This window comes from Homo sapiens, chromosome 2 (assembly GCF_000001405.40).
Source record: "Homo sapiens chromosome 2, GRCh38.p14 Primary Assembly".
Taxonomy (NCBI): domain Eukaryota; kingdom Metazoa; phylum Chordata; class Mammalia; order Primates; family Hominidae; genus Homo; species Homo sapiens.
Genome location: NC_000002.12, coordinates 109,239,183 through 109,261,659, shown reverse-complemented (window position 1 = coordinate 109,261,659; position 22,477 = coordinate 109,239,183). Strand labels below are relative to the sequence as shown.

The following is a 22,477-nucleotide window of genomic DNA, read 5'->3' as shown; positions in this document are numbered from 1 at the left end:
CTGGCCAGCACACAGCCATCAGAGTCTCAATGAACACTGAACACCACCTGCAGCCCCATGCCACTTCTTTCTGGGCACACCCTTCCCTTCGAATGCACTTGTTTGTGTTTGTCCCTGGGAGATGGGAGGTGCCTGGCTGCTGCACACACAGGTGGGAGGCTGAGCATATTTCACACACGTCTGACACCTCCAAAGCCAAGAAGCAAACATCCTTGACCTCTGCCTGTCCAGCTCCACAGACTGCACATTTTACTGCTCTGCTGTAATTACAATGAAAACAAACACAATTTAATCCTCATGATTAACTAGAGCTCTTGCTGTGTGCTGTTCAGCACAGTGTGCGGATCAAGGCTTCCTGGAGCCCTGGGGAGGGGACAATCACCTCCACATCATTGCTTTGTTCTGCTTGACAGGAAGAGCCATCAGCCAGGGCCCTCGCTTTACACCTATGCAACTACAAAGGGCCCTGACCATACCTGTGTGACAGAGCCAGAAATGTTGATGTGTCCACACAACAGAAGGCTAGCTCACGGGCCTGGCTGTTGGGCCCCCATTGGGCGTCTTGGCAGAAATGGACCCGTGTAAGACACTTCAGGCCAAGTGCTCATGCTACTGACCTCCTTCCTGCAGACACAGTGCCCTCTAAAGGGAGGGAAAGGCTCTCCATCCAGAGAAGGGCACATGGGGCTGAGAACACCTCAAACAGTCCAGCCTCACTGCTTGTAAACAGAGTGGCCTTCCTCTCACAGCAGAGGCAGGATGGGGTTCTGAAGTCACCTGCCTGCCTGGCTTCAACCATTTACCTTCCATTACTCTCTGTAGGGGAGGAAGAAGTCCCTCCCCTGAAACCATGCACTTAGGAACTTGGTTCAGACACACGCTAGGGTCACCTGAAGTTTCCGTGCCTTCTGTCCCTGGATTGCCCATGGACAGTATCAGGCCATAAGATTGCAAGTCTTCTCTTCACCCTCTGCAGGCCGCTTCTCCCATGGGCCTCCATTGGCCCTGGACAGCCTGTCAGCTCTCAGCCATGGGCCACCTCACCAGTCAGATCCTGCATCAGGCACTCCACATACAAGATCGGGAGCCCTCTTGCCTATGACCAAGGTGTCCCTGTGCCCACGCTACAAGTGAAAGTGCTAAGCTCCACAGAGGGTAAGTATGGAACTGGAATTAAAACCCAGATACAGCCACTGGGAGGCAGATGCTTTCTCCACCTTTCTCTGGCCCTGAACCCATCCAAGCCAACTGCACCTGCTCTCCTGCTTTGGTGGTTCCTGGAAGGGCACATGCAGCTCCCTGACCTCGGGTCACAGGTCTCCCTCACTCACCTCACCTGGGCCTTGCCTAGCACTTGGGATCAGCAGTGACTGTGCATGGCGCCTTGGGTTTAGGCGTCAGTTTGCATGGTTTTCCACTAGGGAGAGGACGGTAAATCACAGGGCTGCCAACCATCAGTAGTGCACTGCAGGCTTATCAACAGCCGCCAGGAAAGTCTCGGGAATGCATTTATTCCCTAAATACACTGAGAATTTAGAAAATGAAAAGATCCCAGAGAGCCTCTCTACTCTCAAAAAGGTATTCCCAGGGTTGAGATAAACATCACAAATAACCCTCCACCAAAAAAATTACAATTACTACTTGGAAAAGATATCTCTGGCCGGAGAAGAAAAGAGAACCTAAGCAAAGAAAACCCCTGGGCGTCTGAGAACATGGATATCATCTGCAGAGCCCCTGTTGTGCACGGTGTAGCACACACATGACTGACAGTTTCCAGAGCCATCCCCACAGCGCCCGGCCCAGAGGCTGTCCAAACACCAGATGCTCTCAGAGCCAGACAAACAGAGACCTCCCAGAGATGTCAAGGAAACTTGTCTGAATAAAGCTCCCTCCACATGCACCTACGTGAAGCCTCCATGAAGAAAAAGAAGTGAAAAGAACCAAATCAAGAAAAACAAATTCTTCTTCCGTAGGCCGTGAGAGCAAGTATAGACATTATCACAATTCAAGTTACATCAGGGTCTCCCTGTCACCAACTTCTCCATAAATAACATGCCGCCCAAACATGGTAACTCCAGGGCATTGTGGAAGAAAATAACAAAACAAGCCTCTTGGGATGTTAAGGCATGAAGGGCCCCGGAGAGTCCTGACTTTGCACAGAAGGAAAATCAAGGACTCTAGTCCACCAACAGGCCCACAATAGCCAATGCACCACCGTCACACAACCCAGCAGAAATCACAACAGAGTAGACCTGGAGGCCCAGCCTCCCCTTGCATGCAGGTATGTAGGATGCCTCCGGCTCTGGATGGTGGTCTCAGAGGGCTTCAGGTAGGCTCAACTGTCAGAGCCAGGCCTCTGCACACTCAGAGCCAGTTGTTCAGGAGCCAGCAGCAGCTGCAGGTCTGGGTGCTCCTCAGGGCCAGGACACCCTTTAATCCGACCCATGAAGGCCAGAGAAGCCTACACTTTATGGATTCCTCAACCCGGCTTTTGTAAGTAACTTCAGCCACAAGCCGCGTGGCATGTTGCAGCTATTACATGTGATCTGGCAGTAGGTATGTGTCAGAAACTCTCTGATGAAGCCAAATGGAAACTAGGGCCCTGGCAGCACAAGGCTCTCCCTCCTTCCCGAGGCAGCCTACACAGTGAGCTGACCCCACATAGTTCACCCAGCTAGAGAGGGCATGCGGATGCCCCGTGGGCAGAATCTGGGGAAGCAGCAGGACAGAGAGGGTCTCTCTGCAGCTCGAGCTGAAAGGCAAAACCCCTGACCACAGAGTGTTCTCGTCAAATCCAGCACAGCCAAGGACATCAGCACAGGTCACTGCCCCTGGATGGGTCCTGCTCTGACCTGGCAAGACCCTACCCCTATTAGGAAGGACAACAGCAGTGCAGGCCACTGTCTTCAAAGCAGCACGTATTATATGTCTGAATAACAAACCAGAACTTTCTGGCAGTCATCACTCAGACACGGCTGCCACACAGTCAGGCTCCTAGAGGTACCGGTGACCTGCTGGTCAGTGCAGGGATGTTAGGAGCACAGCCAGCTGTGGCCCGGCCTGGGGAATTGCGGGATGACTGACTGGATTCCTAGTGAGGACAAGGATTGGTGGCACCACCCATACATTGTTCGGAGGCTCACCGCCCTGGCCAGCCTACATGATTGGATTGGCCCTGGTAGGTGTGGGCTGTGCTGAGGGCCCGAGGAAGCCTCCAATACCCAGGAGGTGACAAAGCCTAGAGGCTCTGAGCTGTAGAGACCCCTGCAGAAAACCCGGCTGCACTAGGGTTTGTGGTCCTCTCAACTCTGCAGTTTCTCGCTCTTTAGAATGGGGACAAGACCTCCTGACTGGCTGTCACAGCGGCCACTGCATCAGGATCCCCTCAGTAAACATTCCCTTCAGCCCCTACAAACAGCGCCAGGCTGTCCCCCACTCCTGGAAACCTGGCCACTAGGCATTATTAAGGTAAGTTTACTCTTTCGTAAGCCTCGTTGATGGGGTAAAAGTCTTACCAGCTACCAGTTGCTTGGTGTTTCCAATGTCTGGGCCGGTTAAGCTCCAGATCAGAAAGTCTGCCTGGTAGCCCAGGGATGGCAGGGCTGTGAGGGTCAGCAAATAAGAAAGTGTACATGTGTGCACAGGTATGTGGGTATGTGTGTGCACATGTGGTGACAATCAAGCAGGGAAAGAAATGCTAGAATGGTGAACACAAAAGGCAAGCTGGTCTAATTCATTCTGAGCCCAGGACAGCCCTGGCCCTGGTGTCAGAGAAGCAGTGTGCTCTGTCTGTGTTTACTGTGACTCACTGGGAAAGTGGGGTTTCCAAAAAAGCCTCCACTTAAACAGGCTGGCTGTCTCCTGTCCGTAAAACATACATTTTCAGCCCTTGTTTCTGCACTTGGGGCCCCTTGGTTTTTTTGGACACTGAGACAGGGAGCTCTAACTGTCTACTTCAGGAAACAGGTAATGAACGTGTCAGTGGCTTCCCTGAAGCGCAAACCAAGGCACTCAGAAGGAAAGTCTTCTTCATGGGATGGGTGGCAGGCAGAGTCTATCCTGCTCCAGTGGTCAAGGGAAGAAAGTAACTCCTCACTCACCACGAACTTGGGCCACAGTTTCCTAGCTGACAACCTCCCAGCCAGACTCTTGGTGTGCCCTTCACAGACTTCAGGGCAGCTGCTATTTACAAGAAAGCCATGGGGCTTCTTCCTCCCTCCCTCCGTCCCTTCCTCCCTTCCTTCCCTCCTTCCCTTCCTCTCCCTCCTTCCCTTCCTCTCCCTCCCTCCCTCTCCTTCTTTCATTCCCTCCTCAATTCCTTTCTTTCCTTCATTCCTCCTTCCCTCTTCCTTAAGCCCACATCACTTAAAAGCAGAAACAGCTGACTTTGTACCTCCTGGCCACAGAACGAACAACATGACTTGATGCTGCCTCTCCAAGAAGGACTTACCGTCATGTCCACATGAGCAAGAGAAGCTCCTGCCCCAGTGGGCACTTTTCCAGGATGCTGAGTGAATGTCGGCTGCAGAGTGGACATGAGGGATTCAGTGGCTTTCGGGCTGCCTAGACACAGCCACTGAAATACACGGTGCCCCTACATGACATTCAAATGCCATACAGTGCAAGTCCAGGGCAGCAATGTGACCCGTGCCTGGTCACAGGCTGTCTGAGAGCAGAGGCGGAATAACTCCCTCCAGCATGAAGAGCTGCTAGTCCTCCACACATCTCCATCCACCACCGTTCATGAAAAACACATAAAAATGCCATTCAATTAGGTAGAGGCTGATGGTTAGTCTCCGGGACAATGGAAGACAAGGGACACCCCCACCTGTCACCCGGCACTGCCACCTAAGAGACCCTGAAATAAAAATCCCACTTCACTGTTTTCTCCAGTGATTCATTCATCAATAGCTCGATGTATTCCCTTTCCCTGATTAAAAGTTAACTCCACACAAGGAAGATGAGAAAAGAAAGATTGAGAAAACAAAACTTAGACCACGAAGACTAGGGAAAAAGTAATAAAAATTGTGGCACAATCCCATTGGCAAATCCCCTCGAAGCTCTCAGGCCAGTGCACCTAGCAAAAGGGCTTCTGTGCCCTTTACACACTAGCCCCTCAAAGCTCCAGGAGTGGACTGAACCTGGGCCTTGGTAAGTGTTTGTGACTGATCTCAAATCTCCCCTGTTTCCATGAGAGAGCACTCGTCTCCCTGTTTCAGTCAATGGTAAGTCTGAAACATCTCCTTCCTTGCAGGGGAGGACATCGCATTGCCGCTCATATCCCTAATGACACACTGTCAACTGACAAGCCCAGAGCACCTTCCAAGCTCGCCCCAGGACTACGTCACAGCGTCAACTTCCCCCACTCCCAGTAATACGCTCAACCAGGCCCAAGTGAAACAATGCGCGACCTGTCCATGGCAGGCTCTCCAACTGTGGGGTCTTCCTTGTCTACCTTTCACCTCCACTCAGGGGACAGGACTCAGTGAGGGCCTCCGCCAGGTGCTGGGTCACAGCGGCCAGAAGCACGGGCCTGGCCTCTCCCTCCAGACTTTGCAGGCTCATGGGAATGCCAAGTATTAATATGAAGCACATACAGGCTTACATTTGTGAGGAGGAAAAAGAGGACAGTAAGAGAGTATGTACATTTACATACAAGCACACACAGGGAATCTTCCTCAGGGGACAGGTGCATCCTATTCACTAAGCAAGAAAACACTTCCTCTTCCCCTTCCTTTCAAAGGCCTTGATCTGCAGGACAGAAGCAGGGAGAATGAAAAGGGCAAAAAGGAAAACTAATTTAACTGTCTTCTCTTTCTGAAAACTCGGCCTATTAAAAGCACAAACAGTCGGCAGGGCGGTTTCATTTCCTTGTCTTCATTAAATCAGGAAGCTGAGATTCAGCAGAGATTCTGGCCCTAGAAGTAGCTTATCGGAAATGACCATGAATTATCACCCCAGTGTCCTCCACATGTTTTCTGGTAAGTAGTTTCTTTACTTAACTGAGAAGGTTGTTCCCAACAGTTCTCAAAAGGTGTTCAAATTCCCAAGCCTACCTCATAAAACATTTTCATAATTATAGAGGTGATAGCAACCTTGGTGAGAACAACTATCAAGATGATTTTGATGGGGTTATTTGCTAATTTTGCCTCTTCTGTGAATAAAGATACCCAGTCGGCTGACTAATACGAACCCCAGTCCAACCCTGAATGTGTCCACAACCCCACAGACCTTCATACTGATCATTGAGAACAACCCAGACATTCCCTGGTGGTGGTAAAGTTAACCGAATAAAGCACTTCTCCAATGCTCTGTATTCTTAGAGTAGCTTTACTCAAGTTTCACCGGTGGGTGGTATGGGGTCTGCTGGAAGCCCAGTGTGACAGTGTGACCCATTCACTGGGAGATACTTCCAACCTAGATGCACTATTCCGAAGCCCCAACAGGTTGCCTAAATTGATTAGGAAAGTGAAATGCCACACACACAAAGCAAGAGTTGCACACGTGCACATGTACACACACAGACACACACACACAAACACTAATCTTTAACCTCCCACCACCATGACACGGGTACCACCTTGTGTCTTTTAGCCTTAGGAGGACTGCAGGCTTGTACAGTGTTGGAGCCATCCCTGTTCTTTCCAGATACAAATGATCTAATGGAGTAACCTAACCTGAACCACAGAGCCCCACATAGGTGTTCAATATCCTTCCAGAGCATTTTTCTAGCTTTTGAGACCAGAGTGGGTCACATGGAGCGTACTGTCTCGCTGAGCCCACCCGTGAGAATTCGGACATCCACAGAGAGCAGATACTGCCCTGGCGAGGCAGTGCCTCCAGCCTAGAAGTACCCATCTGTTGGCTTAACTGGAGCGCTCATGGGGCACTGTCCCGAGCCACTAAAGTCCCGGCAATGAGAGGCTCCTCTCATGGGAGCGGCTGGCACAGAAAGAGACAACCACACACCAACATTAGGGGGTACAGCTGAGACAGCAGGAAGTGAAACCCAGCAGAAGACAAAGAAACTATTTGACCAACCTTCTCACGGGGTCATGGGAATAGTCATGGTTTCTTCACATGTGCCTCAAGTTTTAATCAGCATCTACAATGTTGTATTGCCAGACCCAGGTACATCAGCTCAGTGTCAGAGGCAAAGCTGAACGAGGCTGGTAACATTTACATGCAATGTGTCAGGCCCTATTCTAAGTACTTTACAGCATTAATCCATTTAACCTCCCCAACAGTCCAATGAGGAATGTGCTGCCCCCATTTTACAGATGGGGAAACTGAGGCACAGAGAGGCCAACTTGCACAGGATTATACAGGTAGAAAATTATGGCACTGACTCCTTGGTCTGCACTCTAAGCCACTATGCTGCTGCGTGCTAAAAACTCTAGAAAAACATATTGATTGTCCTCAGGTCAGACATCCAAAGGTCTGGAGTGGAGTGAAGAAGTCTATAAAATGCTAACAGAAGAAAAATGTGATTTTCTTCATGTTTTCCTCTAAGAGTCCTTGCTAGAGGGGTTGGTGAGGCAGTCATGCTGGCTGCCACTAGCCCAGGGAAATTCTCATGTGGGTCAGAAAAAGCACCCCTTCAAGACAAATCTAGGATAAATGTGATGTGAATGGTGCCTGGCCCCTGAGTTGTATGATGTATAACCTACACATCTCAGGGGCCAGGCCCCATTCCCAATACATTTGACAGCCTTAAGAGCTGTGGAAGGGGAATTAAAGACTTCCATGCTTTTAGAAAGAAGAAAATGCAGTTCAAGAAAAAATACTCATACATTACTTTCTGGTTTCTGCTCCCTGAACAATTATTTTCTTAAATTACAAATTATAAATCTTTGTGTGTCAACCTATATAGCAATCTTTGCATCTAAATCAAAGAGAAATCATGGTCTCCACTTGGCCTGGTGCTTTAATAACCACCTGTTCTATTATATGTTCTATTTTCCAGACAGCCAAATTCCTTTCCAAATGACCCAGATACAACCATTTTTATCAAAATTCTAAGCACAGCCCCAAGCACAGGCTAAACCGAAAGACTGTTAAATTAGTCAGAATAAGAATTTGCTGCCTCAACATCTTAGATCCAGCATGAAAATCATGGACACAAGTGGTATTTCTGTTGCCTGGATTAGAAAACAAATAGCAAGCCTGGGAAACATGAGAGCTGGGCAGCAAAAAATGCCCTCACCAGCCCACCCGGAAAGCAGCGCCCACGTCCTGAAACCACATGGACACAGCCTATCCTGGGGCCTCTTCTTTGTAAACACTTCTGCCTCCCAAGGAAATAAACTAATCAAAGCACCTTAATCAAATTTAAAGGCTAGGCCGGGCGCAGTGGCTCATGCCTGCAATCCCAGCACTTTGGGAGGCTGAGGCAGGCGGATCACTTCAGGTCAGGAGTTCAAGACCAGCCTTGTGAAACCCCATCTCTACTAAAAATACAAAAACTAGCCAGGCATGGTGGCACGTAGCTGTAATCCCAGCTACTCAGAAGGCTGAGGCAGGAGAATCACTTGAACTCGTGAGGTGGAGGTTGCAGTGACCTGAGATCGCACCACTGCACTCCAGCCTGGGCAACAGAGCAAGACTCTAGCTCTTAAATAAAAAAAAAGAAAAAAAAAGTAAAGGCTACACATGTGGGTCTACATTTAAACTGATGGATTTTGCTTTTTGAGGTTCAAGAAGAATAGGGTGATTGACTACAGTCAGTCCCCTACTTACGATGGGCTGACTTAGGATTTTTCTACTTTATGATGGTACAATACAATACCCAAACTGTACTTCACATACCTATATAACCAGTGTTTTTCACTTTCAAGACAGTATTAGGTAAATGACACAGATATTCAACACTTTATTATACAACAGGCTTTGTGTTACATGATTCAGCCCAACTGTAGGCTGATTACATTAGCCAGCCTAATGTATATTGTTCTGAGTACATTTAAAGTAGGCTAGGCTGAGCTATGAGGTTCTGTAGGTTTGGTGTATTACATGCGTTTTCAACTTATGATACTTCCAACTATTGATGGGTTTATCAGGACATAATCCATCTTAACTCATTCTGTCATTCTAGTTTGCCTGAAATATCCCTGGTTTTAGCACTGAGAGTCCCACATCCCAAGAAACTCCTCAGTCCCAGGAACACCAGGACGGCTGATCAACCCATGATAAAGCTAAAACTGAAGGCCTGTAAAAAGACAAAGCTTATAAAACAAGCCTGAGGAAGCAGTTTCAGAAGTAAACATTAAGTTCAGAAAATTTTGAGAGTTTGCATCCAACTATTCCTCTAAAAATAAACCCGGCTTCTGTTGAACAATGTAAACTTTCTAAATTAAGCCTAAAACATCTTTTTAAATTATAATGTTGAAAGTTTTTTTTTTTTTTCTCCTCTGAGACAGGGTCTCACTGTGTCACCTGGGCTGGAGCGCAGTGGTGCAATCTTGGTTCACTGCAACCTCTGCCTCCCAGGCTTAAGCAATCCATCCTCCAACCTCAGCCTCCTGAGTAGCTGAGACTATAGGCCTGTGACACCCCACTCAGCTATTTGTATTTTTTGTAGAGATGGCATCTCTATATGTTGCCCAGGCTGATCTCTAACTCCTTAGCTCAAGTGATCCATCCTCCTACCTTGGCCTCCCAAAGTGGTGGGATTATAGTCGTGAGCCATTGTGTTCAGTAAAAGTTTTATCTTGTTTTATTTGGGGGGTACTTTTGCCGATTTAAGAACATAAGGTTGAGAACTCAAAGTCTAGAACCCTGGAACCCATCCTCTTAAAACTCATTATGTACTTTAAAGGGATTAGAAAATTGGTATTAAAAATATTAAATATTTGGTATTTTTTAGTATTATCTAATTCTTTTTTTGACTATTACAAAAGTTTATTTAACAAAAAGTCTAATATGAAAATGTACACGACCTAATTTTTACATCATAGTAAAATAGAACCTATGAAGAGAGGACATGGGTTTCTCTGCTGAACAGCCATTATTTATACTCGTTCCAAGGCTTCTAACATGATGATACTATTTCCTATTACCACCATTCCAATATTGTTCTGTTGCCCACCAGTCGCCATCTCCACACATTCATCTATCACAAGATTCATAAAGGGACCAAATGACCACAATATTCCTTGGACATGTCTGCCACCATTTAATTTCAATGACAACTTCTTGTCCATAGATTTTTTCAACTCGGGAGGGTGAGCTTTGCTCATGGTGTCTACTCCATGCACTCACAGATGCCTTGGAAAGGAATGCACAGACTCCCTCATGCTCCCGCGGCAGGCCGGGTGTCTTGCATCTCTCTAATTCTTTGTTAAAGATAATTTGGGCCGGGCATGGTGGCTCACGCCTGTAATTAATCCCAGCACTTTGGGAGGCTGAGGCGGGTGGATAACCCAAGGTAAGGAGTTCGAGACCAGCCTGGCCAACATGGTGAAACCCCATCTCTACTAAAAATAAAAAAATTAGCCAGGCATGGTGGCAGATGCCTGTAATCCCAGCTACTGTGGGAGGCTGAGGCAGGGGAATCACTTGAACCTAGGAGGCAGAGGTTGCCATGAGCCGAGATCATGCCACTGCACTCCAGCCTGGGCGACAGAGTGAGACTCAATCTCAAAAAAAATAAATAAATAAAAATATTAATAATTTGAAAAAAAAAGCTATACAGAATGCAATGTATATGCCTAAACAACGTTAATTTAGAAATTTAAAAAGATAATTTTTAAAATGGTTTCACTTTTTTGGATTTACTCCAGGTAAGTGATTTGATTTTTTGTTCTACCTAAACAGCACTGGATATAATTATTTCCCAGGGCTTCAAAATTCTGAAAATCCTAATTCCCTATTGAAGCACTTTTTTTTTCTAAAATAGCTAATTACTAAATTATAACAAACATAGAAGTTGAATTTGGCAAGTTATGGTAGTTTGCTTCTAGGTCCTCCTTTGATATAAATATGTTTTCCATATTTGCCTCATACTCAATAGTTTTCTAAATTTAGCCCAGGAAACATACCACTATTATTATTATTATTACTGTTATTATTTTGTTAAAGGTTTTTCTGTATTTATCATGTTTTGAAAAAGAAAAACGGTCAAATTCTAGATCCTTTAAAATCCAGTCCATTATTATTCCATTTATTTTAATAATAATAATAAATATTTAAACCTGGTAAGTTTTCCGAGTATATCAAAATTTATTATGATGATTGTTTCATGAAGAAACGAAGTTGTATATAATACAAGCTTACATTGCTAAGCTCAGAAGTGAATTCAGAGCTGATGGAGACTGTTAGCTTGTGCATGTTTAGAAACCCCCACGTTGGCTCTGTCCAACCAGCAATGGGCGAGATGTCTTCCCCAGGGCTTCCAAAGTTCTAAACATTCTCGTAACTTGGTTCAGTTGCCTTTCCCTAAATACAAATTCCTGAATTATATCAAAACCTTAGGGAACATTCCTAGGAGTGGAGAAAAACCTTAAAGACAGAGAAAAACCTTAAGGACAGATAAAAACAAGAATTCTAATTAGACAAAAAAAAAAAAAAAGGAACACCTACTGTTTTGCCCTCAAAAACACTGATGTCAGTCATGGTAAAAATAACAAGTTTTCATTTATATTTCACTGACTTAAAATTTGGTAGAGATCTGGTGCAGGCCGGGCGCGGTGGCTCACGCCTGTAATCCCAGCACTTTGGGAGGCCAAGGCAGGTGGATCATGAGGTCAGGAGATCGAGACCATCCTGGCTAACACAGTGAAACCCCGTCTCTACTAAAAAATAAAAAAATTAAAAAATAAATAAATAAAACAAAAAATTAGCCGGGCGCGGTGGCGGGCGCCTGTAGTCCCAGCTACTCAGGAGGCTGAGGCAGGAGAATGGCGTGAACCTGGAAGGCGGAGCTTGCGGAGCTTGCAGTGAGCTGAGATCGCACCACTGTACTCCAGCCTTGATGACACAGCAAGACTCTGTCAAGAAAGAAAGAAAGAAAGAGAGAAACAGAGAAAGAGAGAGAGAAAGAAAGAGAAAGAAAGAAAGAAAAAGAAAGAAAGGAAAGGAAGGAAGGAAGGAAGGAAGGAAGGAAGGAAGGAAGGAAGGAAGGAAGGAAAGAAAGAAAGAAAAAGAAAGAATGAAAGAAAGAAAGAAAGAAAGAAAGAAAGAAAGAAAGAAAGAGAAAGAGAGAAAGAGAGAGAGATCTGGTGCAGGAGGGAAGGGTTCCTTGCTCAACAATTCTCCAGATCCTCTGAGCTTTGGTTTCCTCATGTAGTCATGGCAATAATACCAACTTGCTCGGGGATTTTTTGCAAAGATTATGTGTTAGGTTTCCTTCCCTCCATCTTAAGAATCACTGCTCAGGCCCTCTTCTTTTACCAAATAACTTTTCAACAGAAACCTGAAGAAAGAACAGGGTAGGAGTCGGGGGGGAGTTGCTTAGCTGAAGTTAACGAGTGTAGTTCTTGGCCAGGTGTGGTGGCCCACACCTGTAATCAATCCTTTTTTGAGAGGCCAAGACAGGGAAATTGCTTGAAGCCAGGAGTTTAAGACCAGCCTAGGCAACATAGTGAGCTGTGGTCTCTACACAAAATTACAAATTAGCTGGGCATGGTGGCATGCACCTATAGTCCCAGCTACTCAGGAGGCTGAGGTGGGAGGATCACTTAGGCCCAGGAGTTGGAGGCTGCATCCCAGCCTGGGTGACAGAGCAAGACAGGACAGGACAGGACAGGACAGGACAGGACAGGACAGGACAGGAAAGGACAGGAAAGGAAAGGAAAAAGGAAAGGAAAAAGGAAAACGAAAAGGAGAAAAGAGAGAAAGAGAGAAAACGAAAGAGAAAGAGAGACAGAAAGAGAAAGACAGAAAGAAGAGAAAGAGAGAGAGAGAGAAGGAAGGAAAGAAGGAAAGGAAGAAAGAAAAGAAGGAGGCAAGGAAAGAAGGAAAGGAAAGAAATGCAGTACTTCATTTTTCTCTTCACTCACCAAGTGTACTAATTATTTGCTTGCACTTGAATATTCAAACCTATTTAATATACATGTTTGGTCAATTAATGTCTCAAGGTTTCTGTCTGCATTGCAATTGTCTTAGACTGGAATTAACTACAGGGTAGTAACATCCATTTAATTCCACTTGGAAAATGCCACTTGCAGAGCAGGCCTGCATAAATGACTTTGATGCAGTGAGAAAATGGAGCTTACCTAATAAAAACACTTCTTAATTATCCTACCAAAAGGAAAAAAATGAGAGCGATAACACATAATCATGAGAGGCAAAACCATAAAACTTTCAGGAAACAATAAGAAGAATATCTGTATGGCTTCAAGGGTGGGGAAGATTTTTAAAACAATAGCCAAAATGAGCACATCAGAAAAGAAAAAGATTGAGAGAAGTGACCTTGTTTATTAAAAGTAAGAACTCCTATTCATCTGAATCAACATATATAGCAATGAAAGAATTAATATCCAGAATATATTTTAAAAACTCCTCCTAATATAAAAGATCAACAATCAAAAGAAAACAGGCAGTGGACTTTGTGGTGGATTGTAGAGTAACAGCCTCCAATTGATTCATGTTCCCTGGATCCAGGCCCTTGGAATATTCCATCCAAGGTTGCCTCTAGATTTGGCAGCCCTGTGACTTCCTTTGGCTAATGAGACAACAACAATTATGATGCAGATGGAGGTTTAAAAAGCGCTTGCACGTTGGAGTCTGCCTTTTCTTGTTGCTTACTGGGACCTTCAGTCCACCACATGAAGACGCCCAGGCTAGCCTTTGGGGGATATAAGAGACCATGTGGAGAGGAACCCAGGCCATCCTTGCTGCCCCAGTAACCCCAGCCAACACACACAACAGTGAGTTAAATAAAAAGGTATTATTTTAAGCCTCTAAGTTTTGGGTTTCTGTTATACAGCAAATCCTAACTGATACAGGGAAAAACATATAGAAGATGTTCTCCTTCACTGGCAATCAGAAACTAACAAAGGAAGAGCTAACGCAGCCAGTCCGTCAACTGTGAGGTGTTAAGGACACTCACACCTTTGTTTACAAAGAGAAGTCGCCAAGTGTAACCAGGCAAGAGTTTCTGCACAGGAAGAGCACAGCAGGCTGGACTGACACGTGACCACCCATGCCTGCCTTAAGGTGGGAAGAATAATGGTTTTGCACAAAAACTTCCAGGAAGTGTCCTCAGAGGAACGGTCAGGAGCCGTGACGTTCAGGGATCATCTGGGAAGCTCAGCTGGTCTTACACAAGTGTGCTAGGTTACTTAGGAAGTAAACTGATCTAGAAACTAACGAAGTTCAGGGAGGGGCTGCAGAGATTTGGATAAAGGGCTCAAGAAAGCTCTTGAAAGCCATCCTTGGTGTGTCACCGATTCCAGGACATTAAGGACTCACTGCAGCACATAATCTGTGGGCATCTGTGTGGGGTGTGACTTCATTCTGTTCTCCCTTATCTCATAGCTTCCTTGTCCTCTGCAAACCCAAACTCCATGTTTCATGTCTCTGGATAATATCCATACACCCATGGGATTACAATTCCCCAAACAGGGGAAAATGAAAAATTAAAATGGTTTTAGAGTTGAATGTAGTTGTGACTACAGGAAAGATGTCACATCATCTCAAAAAGTGAGGGTCCGACCAGAAAGAGACTAACCAGCATCCTCCACCATGAGTCCTCCTCATGCTCTGGGAACGCCTCCTCAAGGCTGAGCTGCAGCATTGGCCTGGAGCCCTGAGTCAGAGGGGTCCTAGCATCAAACCTGTGCCACCGAATGGAAGGAAGACACCCCCAGCATCGCTGTCACAACAGAAGCACGTGGATGAGCTAGGGCATCCGACTGCAGTTCAACTCAGAGCAAGCGAGGCTCTCCAGGCTCAGGTATCATCTCCACCCCGGCATCCCCACTGCCTCCCAGTCCATCTGAGCAGAGACATCCAGCCTTAGGACGAGCCAGGGCAATTCCACCAGGCACGTTAAGTCCACAGGTCAAATAAGACACGTGCAGGGAGATACACTGGCTGTGTGTGGAAAGGAAGGCTGGAGGGTACTACAGTGGTGAAACATCTACACTCTCCAGCCATCCTGTTAGGCATGATATTCCTTGGAGTATGCAATGGACTGAATGTATGTGTCATCCTAAAAGTCATATGTTAAATCCTAACCTCCAAGGTAATGCTATTAGGAGCTGAGGCCTTTGGGGAGGTGACCGGATCGTGAGGGTGGAGCCCTCATGAATGGGATTAGTGTCTTACTAAAGAGGCCTCGGAGAGTTGCCTTGCCCCCTCTACCATGGGAGGACACAGTGAGAAGGCACCGTCTGTGAACCTGGAGGCCAGTCTTTACCAGACATCGAATCTGCCAGTGCCTTGATCTTGGACGACCAGCGTCTAGAACTGTGGGAAATAAATTGCTGCCGCTTTTAAACCACTGCGTTTACGGTATTTTGTTACAGCAGCTTGAAAAGCCTAAGGCAGCCTCTGTCAACCTCACAACCACCCTGCAAAGCAGGTATCCTCCCACTTCACAAATGAAGAAACAGAAGCTAAGTAACTTGCCCAATGTTATCACAGTCCTAGGTGTAAAATTGAAGTATGAATCCAGGTGTCTTGATTTCAAAAATCCATGCTCTTTTTTTGTTTCACCACACTGGTTTTTTGTGAATAAGCCAGCTTAGAGACTTTCATTATAGCAGTAATTTTTTTTTGTTCCCTCAAAGGATTTCCTGAGACCAGTAAATGATGCCCGGGATTGTGTTAAGTACTCTAGATTTCAAGTGTTAAGTACTCTAGATTCAATCTCTCATGATGGATTTACAAACTCCATAAAGATCTGAGGGTCCCCCTGAGGCAACTTTAACCAGAAAATCTGAAGGTCCAGGAATTATAGCAAAAATGATGACTTAGAATGAATTTCCTGAATTTGTTAAGATATTTATTGTGGCCAATTTCAGAGAGAAATCTTAACAAATATGGTCTCAGTTCAAGGGATAAGAAGCAAATATGAAAACTCGTAAAGTTATTTTATATATAGACTTAAATTTGTCTCCTCAAAGCCCAAGTTCCTATAATAACATGTCAGGCTAGAGGTGCAGTTTGTCCAATAAAAATAAAAACTTAATTTACTTTTTATTTCTAGTTGACTCTTAGAAAGGAAAATAATCAACTCACATAGGAAGCACTAATGTGCAAATTATTTTGCCAGACTCTGAGGGTCTGAATATCCAGACAAAAACCACAAAGAAACAAAAATTACATGAAAGCACCAAGAGGGAATTCCAGTTACAGCAGAGGTTGACACTGTCCCCAAGTTGGGGACAGAGGGAATGACCACAGGCATGGGCCTCACCTTGACCATGGCAGCAGACAGCTCTACTCCTGTCTCTGTGGTCTGAAAACCTCAGAGCAGCCAGTAAGATGACCCTAGAGAGACAGGAGCTATACATTCACCAGGAGCACAGAAGCCACATGGCAAGAACCCAAGTGGGCTCCAGCAGGGGAGCTTCCCGTGAGATGGTGGAGGGGCTCTCATTCTATCTGCTGAGAACTGGGCACACTCTGCTCAGCAATGGGTCCCTCAGCACAAGGCTGCCCAGACAACAGGACTAAACACTTAAAGGGGACGCCATCCAACAACAAAGACAGCAAGAACTGTACTCACAGTTCTCCATAGAGATACTGGCACCTGATCAAGTCTCAAACCCAAGGGCAAGCTCAGGGCCAGCCAACTTTGTCTTGCTTCTAACTTGTGTCCACACCCTGCAGAATATGACGATGGCACAGGCTGCAGTGGGAAAGGTGTGTAAAACCTCCCCTGTTCTCAGGCCACCCCTCCAAGGCCAGCAGCAGGAGGGGCACCTGCCCTGGGCCACAGGCTGCCTCAAGGGCCCGGGCATTGAGGTTCTGAGTGACTTTGACTCCTGTCTCTAGAGGCTGTGATTCTCAGTGCTGCAGATAATACCATCTCCATATTTCCTCCCTGTGTTTGCCTAACAGAAACTCCGATATCTTCTCCTGCTAACTGGCATTCTTGGGTTTTCCTCATCCTGCCAGCTTATTCCTATAGCAACTATTAGGTGGAACAGCTCTCATCTTAAAAACAGTTCCAAACAGCTTAGGGCCCTATAAATTTAATTTTCAATCTCACATTTGGCATTTGTTTGGGGGTAGTTCCAACACATCAGGAAGACAGAATTGCATTCATGGGCAAAAATCAGTACTGATGGTTTTGCCTAAAGACTGAATATAGTATTTACTTTCATAATACCACCTGAGGTTTATATATTAGGACAATTCTGCTCTGTGTCACTTTTCTCACCTGCTCCTAGATGCAAAATGTGCACATTTGCCTGAAGAAGCTGTTGCATAATGCTTTGTTGTACCTCCTGTGTGCTTCTTAAATGTTTTATGCCCCCGTCATGTTTTATCTCCAGCTCGGATTAGAATCCATTGTTTTGCAGTCCATAAATAGTACATCCTTCAAACAGTACAAAAAAAATAGCTACAGAGGATTTGCTGAATTGTAAGTTCAAGGAAAACTATTCTTTCTATCAGGATTCTAGGCAATCTAGGACCAACAGAGAAAATACCCTCGCTACAATTACCCATCTCACTGTTTAATGATCACTGCTGATGGCAAAAACTTCACCTATGAGCACATGAGCTGGGCAGGGCAAACAGAACCACCAAGTGCCCATGGCTGCATGTCGGTGGCATGAGCTCTTCTGGTGTCTAAGCCTCTCTCACTCACTACTCACTCATCTATTTACTCACTCAAGATCTTTCTAAAGCAAACCAGATCACGTATTGTCCTGATTACAGCCTTTCAATGGCTTCCCAACGCACAGAGAACATGTCCCAAACTCCTTTCCTGGATTGCAAAACCACTCGGGCCACCCCGAGGTTCTCTGAAAACACCATGCTCAATCTCTCCTTAGTCTCCCTGTACCAGGCGATTGTCCCCGACCTTTGCCTCCCTGGCCCCTTCTCACCACTCATATCTTCAGCTCTCAGTTTAGACACCATCTCTTTAAAAATGTTCCCCAGCCACCAAATATAAAAGTCATTCTCTGTCATTCTCCATTATAGGTTCCCATGGTGTTAATTACCTGTATGTCACCTGCCCCATCTGACTTTTTTCATGAGCATTTCCTGTTCATTGGCCTCCCTGGCTGGAATGCACACGAGGAGAATACGAAAATCCCTTCCTCATTTGCCACCACACACTTGATGCAAGAAGAAAGGACAGGCACTCCAGCATGTGCCCCGGGAATATCTGGTAAGGGGTGAACAGAAGGAGACTAAGCACATGGAATCTCAGGGCTGCAAAAGCACACGGGAGTCTCAGGATCCATGCGGTGTACGGCTGACGCCGGCTCTGGCCCAGGACTGGCAGTTGCTGATGGGTCCCTCTACTGAGGCAGGGGATCTGCAGACCTCTCAGCTACTGCTCAGACCTCAAGAAGCTTTCCTCAGCCCTTACAAGACACCTGCACAAGGCAATAGCCTGCTCCCAATTGTCTGCCTGAAAGACAACACCTCCCATCTCATCTGCTGCTGACGCTACAGGAATATGAACAGCCGATTTCATTGTTCTCACAAATCACGACACTCTAAATTCAATTTCCTTAATAGTCTCAAACACTCAGAATAACAGAACCATGAGTCACGGAAGTCCGACTCAGCCTCACACAGAGGACAAGAGTCCTTTGGCTGCAATTCCTGATTTCCTAATGCTGTTCTGTGAGGTTTTTGGATGCCTGTTCCCTTTGTGAGAATAGATAATCTGAAGCAGAAGAAAAAGGCCCTATTGCTCTATTTGGGCCACAGAGTGAGGGTCCCCATCCTCTCCAAACTTGCCACACCCCAGCCTGAGGACGTCACTGGGGAAAGAAGATCAAGGCCCAGCTGTGGACTCCAAACCTCTGAGCCCAGACCAGGGCTCACGAAATGTGTCCTGACTGTCTGGCCAAGCAGCCATTGGATTAATTTTACTGGAGTTTTCACAAGGTAGGCACAGCCCAGTAAGGAAAAGTCAAAGCAGGAGGTCTCTTTGGGCTAGGCCGGCCTGGGGCACGGTGGTCAGTGCAGACACAGGCTTCCCACTTGGCCTTGTTGCCATTCACTCCCGCTTCTCCAGTGGCCAATCAGTGCCTGTGTCACTGGGGCGGCTCAGCAGGAAGGCCTGGCCCCATTCTGAGCCCCAAGGCCCAGGACTCTAGGCACGGGCTGCTCTATGGGTGTGACCATCTGCAACGAGGCACGACACAGACAGGAGACAAGGTCCTCAGTGTAGCAGCCAGCAGACTCAGCTGGGAGCTTCTAGACTCCCAGGCCTGGCTTCCACCCAATTGGTGACATTAAAACTGCTAGGGGGAACCCATGCCTCAGGACTACAAAGCTCCCCAGATGGTGCCAAGGTGCTACCAAAGTTGAGAACAGCAGGAAAAGGGGCCACCTAAGCTAGGACACCAACACAGACAAGAGGGGAAGTGATTCCTCAGGGAGCCCACCATGACCAGGGAAAACAGGAGGCGAACAGAGGAGCCACCCTGTGTGGCAGGCTACCTATGACACCCCCGTCTACACCAGAGCCAGCCACTTGCAGGACGAAGGACTGGGAAAGGGAATCCTCTTTCCCAGTCTGATCACTCACAGGTGTCAGGCCAAGAAAACCACCATGAAAGCAGCACTCTGGGGAACATCGTGTCTCAGGTCCAAGCAGAGGTGGTGGGCCCCTGTAGTCCCAGCTACTCGGGAGGCTGAGGCAGGAGAATGGCGTGAACCCGGGAGGCGGAGCTTGCAGTGAGCCGAGATCGCACCACTGCACTCTAGCCTGGGGGACAGAGCAAGACTCCATCTCAAAAAAAAAAAAAAATTATTCAAGACACTAGGGAAACACGCAGGGTGGGAACAGAAAACTGGCAGATACAGAAGCCAGAGAAGAGGGACTGCAGGGACTGGGGGAGAGAACTGCCGAACCCTCACCATGGCGAGGCGGGGAGACAGAGAGTCCCAGGGGCCCTCCCAGCAGAGCTGACCGAACCAAGCCAAACCTCAATGCCTGAGGCCAAGTGGGAGGGAAGAAGGTTGTGTGGGAGGGAGGACGGATGGTTATAAATCTGATTTTCTGCCAACAAAATGTAATACGAGCTTATGTAGGAAATTTCAAAAGATATAAAGAAAAAAAAAGGACATTCCTAAAGTATTTCTTCCAGCCATTTTTTCCCCCAATGCATCTATACCCATATGGCCCTAGAAAAGGGGAGAGGGTCCCACAGCAAGATGAATTTTGTATACTTTTTTTCCACTTCAAATGCTCCAATATCCGTCCATCTTTTATAATGGCCATTACTACAAATGAATTTGTCTTTTCTGTTGTTGTTGTTATATTCTTAGGCTGGAATTGTTAGGTCAAGAGACAAACAAACTGCTTTTTCAGAGAGTTTTTGTTTTGAGGTATGTAAGTACAAACTTATTTCGCTCTCTTCTTGTCATCATTGACTGTCGACTAATTTGTATTAACTTACTAGACAATGAAGCTTCTCATTCTCAGAGCTTACTACTAAGGCCACTTATTTTAAACATATATTTTTAGTAATTATTCTTCTGATGCTCTATAGAGTTCTTTTTGGCCAAAAGGGAGGCATGGAGTTTTTGGGGAGATGTGGACTTGTTTGGATGTGGATTATAAGGAGGTGAGGGAGAAAGAAGATGGAACATGAGAAAAGAAGCGGGGAGCAAGACAGAGAGACAGAGAGAGAGAGATGGAATCAAGTTCCCAAGGGCAGGGGTGGGGGTGGGGGTGTCAGGAGTCCAGTAGGAAGAAGTAACCTTAGAAGAGAAGAGAAACCCCTCAGGGTCTAGAGAGGAGAAGGACGACAGGAGGAAATAGGAAGAAGCTCAGAAGGAAACAGAAGGGTGCTCAGAGGTGGGAGGGAGGGAAGATGAAGGCATTCTCACCTAATGGCCTCTCTGGTTCGTGTGAAATAATCCGTCAGTGGCAGGGGATATTAGAGAAGCTGAAGGTTTGAAACTGCAGCAATGAAAAACCTATTTATCCACAAGTCAAAGTGCCACACCAGGGGACTCTGCTACTGATAGGGACCATCAAGCCCAACCCTGACTCTGGTTTTAGTTTTTGTTGTTTGTATTTTGTTTGTTTGTTTTTTTGTTTGTCGCCCAGGCTGGAGTGCAGAGGTGCGATCTTGGCTCACTGCAAGCTCCGCCTCCCAGGTTTAAGCAATTTTCCTGCCTCAGCCTCCCAAGTAGCTGGGATTACAGGCATGAGCCACCACACCTGACTAATTTTTTTGTATTTTTAGTAAAGATGAGGTTTCAACCATGTTGGACTCCCGACCTCAAGTGATCTGCCCTCCTGGGCCTCCCAAAGTGCTGAAATTATAGGCGTGAGCCACCATGCCTGGCTTCAACCCTGATTTTGCATGTGAGAAAACTGAGGCCCAGAGGTGATAAATGGGTGATCCATGGTTCCACAAGAAGAGAGGGCAGTGCCAAGTCTAGAATCCCCAGGTGTGGTTCACCCACTATGCAATACAACAGCCTTCACTCACATAAGAAAACAGAGAAGGGTCTGGGCCAGAGCCCCGGCCACCACTACAGACAAGTGACTCATCTATCATGAGCCAGCAAGCATTCCACAGAGGATACCCAGCTGCAAGCCCCACTACAACTAGAGCACATTTTGCTATCAGTCACCTCCGCCTGGCTGCCAGTGATTGAGTGACTCCTCACCTTCAGCACACATTTCTCTAAGTCTCCAAGGAGACGGTCGGAAATTCTGTAAGTTGCTGTGAGCTGTGGGGATGAAAGGCAGGTGGCCGTGAAACACCCCTCCCAAAGACAAGGGACTCCCACAGCAGTGCCGCCAGCTCCTTTCCACAGGTGGCTCCATTTAAGCTGGAGCACTTGGCAGAGCAACTCCCTCCCTAAAATCTATTACTCCACCAAGAAAGCTCTTAAAAATCAGTGGCTTCATCGGCCTCTCTTTCCTCCCTGTTATCCTGGATGATCACGCCTGGCTCTGTACCCAGTCTCGTGTGTGCAAACAATGGTGTCTGCCCACTAACCCCGTGTCCCTCATCGGACCGCAGAGTCAAATATGGGGCCAAATTCAAAATCACTTCAGAATATTGTAGTCCGTTTGTTCTAAAAAGCTTTTACTTGATTGGAGGCAAGGAGCAGGGAAGACCCCAATTTTCACTAGAAAACTGTATCCTTATTCTTATTCAGTTCATTTTTGTGTGAGGAGAAAGAAATGACTACTTTGGAAATGACCCATTGAATCTTAACAAAAATACTCCTATAGCCCCCTAGGAAGGGATAAAAGCTTCCATACAGAGACCCCCAAGAAAACAAATCCATGTGAGAAACCCAGGTGAGCTGTTTGCCATCCGTATTTACGGACCCCAGCTCTTTTCGGAGCACTGTGCAGGGCTCACAC

The 22,477-nt window shown here is 46.5% G+C and overlaps 2 protein-coding genes and 1 pseudogene across 3 annotated transcripts in view, besides 5 other annotated features; all 3 read right to left on the bottom strand.

The window, feature by feature from the left end:
• RANBP2 (RAN binding protein 2) overlaps positions 1-22,477 on the bottom strand; it is a 1,122,820-nt gene that overhangs the window by 580,642 nt on the left and 519,701 nt on the right. The window lies entirely within an intron of this gene.
• Positions 1-22,477, bottom strand: part of SH3RF3 (SH3 domain containing ring finger 3) — a 375,430-nt gene that overhangs the window by 242,975 nt on the left and 109,978 nt on the right. The window lies entirely within an intron of this gene.
• Positions 664-1,163: an enhancer, noted in NCBI's record as "H3K27ac hESC enhancer chr2:109876953-109877452 (GRCh37/hg19 assembly coordinates)". NCBI's record gives its function as "activates a minimal SCP1, AML or CMV promoter by ChIP-STARR-seq in naive H9 embryonic stem cells {active_cell/tissue: H9 hESC(naive)}" and the evidence as "EXISTENCE:reporter gene assay evidence [ECO:0000049][PMID:30033119]".
• Positions 1,164-1,665: an enhancer, noted in NCBI's record as "H3K27ac hESC enhancer chr2:109876451-109876952 (GRCh37/hg19 assembly coordinates)". NCBI's record gives its function as "activates a minimal SCP1, AML or CMV promoter by ChIP-STARR-seq in naive H9 embryonic stem cells {active_cell/tissue: H9 hESC(naive)}" and the evidence as "EXISTENCE:reporter gene assay evidence [ECO:0000049][PMID:30033119]".
• Positions 6,872-7,161: an enhancer, noted in NCBI's record as "active region_16361". NCBI's record gives its function as "activates an Ori minimal core promoter by ATAC-STARR-seq in GM12878 lymphoblastoid cells {active_cell/tissue: GM12878}" and the evidence as "EXISTENCE:reporter gene assay evidence [ECO:0000049][PMID:35858748]".
• Positions 8,457-8,586: an enhancer, noted in NCBI's record as "active region_16360". NCBI's record gives its function as "activates an Ori minimal core promoter by ATAC-STARR-seq in GM12878 lymphoblastoid cells {active_cell/tissue: GM12878}" and the evidence as "EXISTENCE:reporter gene assay evidence [ECO:0000049][PMID:35858748]".
• Positions 8,697-8,776: an enhancer, noted in NCBI's record as "active region_16359". NCBI's record gives its function as "activates an Ori minimal core promoter by ATAC-STARR-seq in GM12878 lymphoblastoid cells {active_cell/tissue: GM12878}" and the evidence as "EXISTENCE:reporter gene assay evidence [ECO:0000049][PMID:35858748]".
• On the bottom strand, positions 9,821-10,326 carry SNRPGP9 (small nuclear ribonucleoprotein polypeptide G pseudogene 9; annotated as a pseudogene).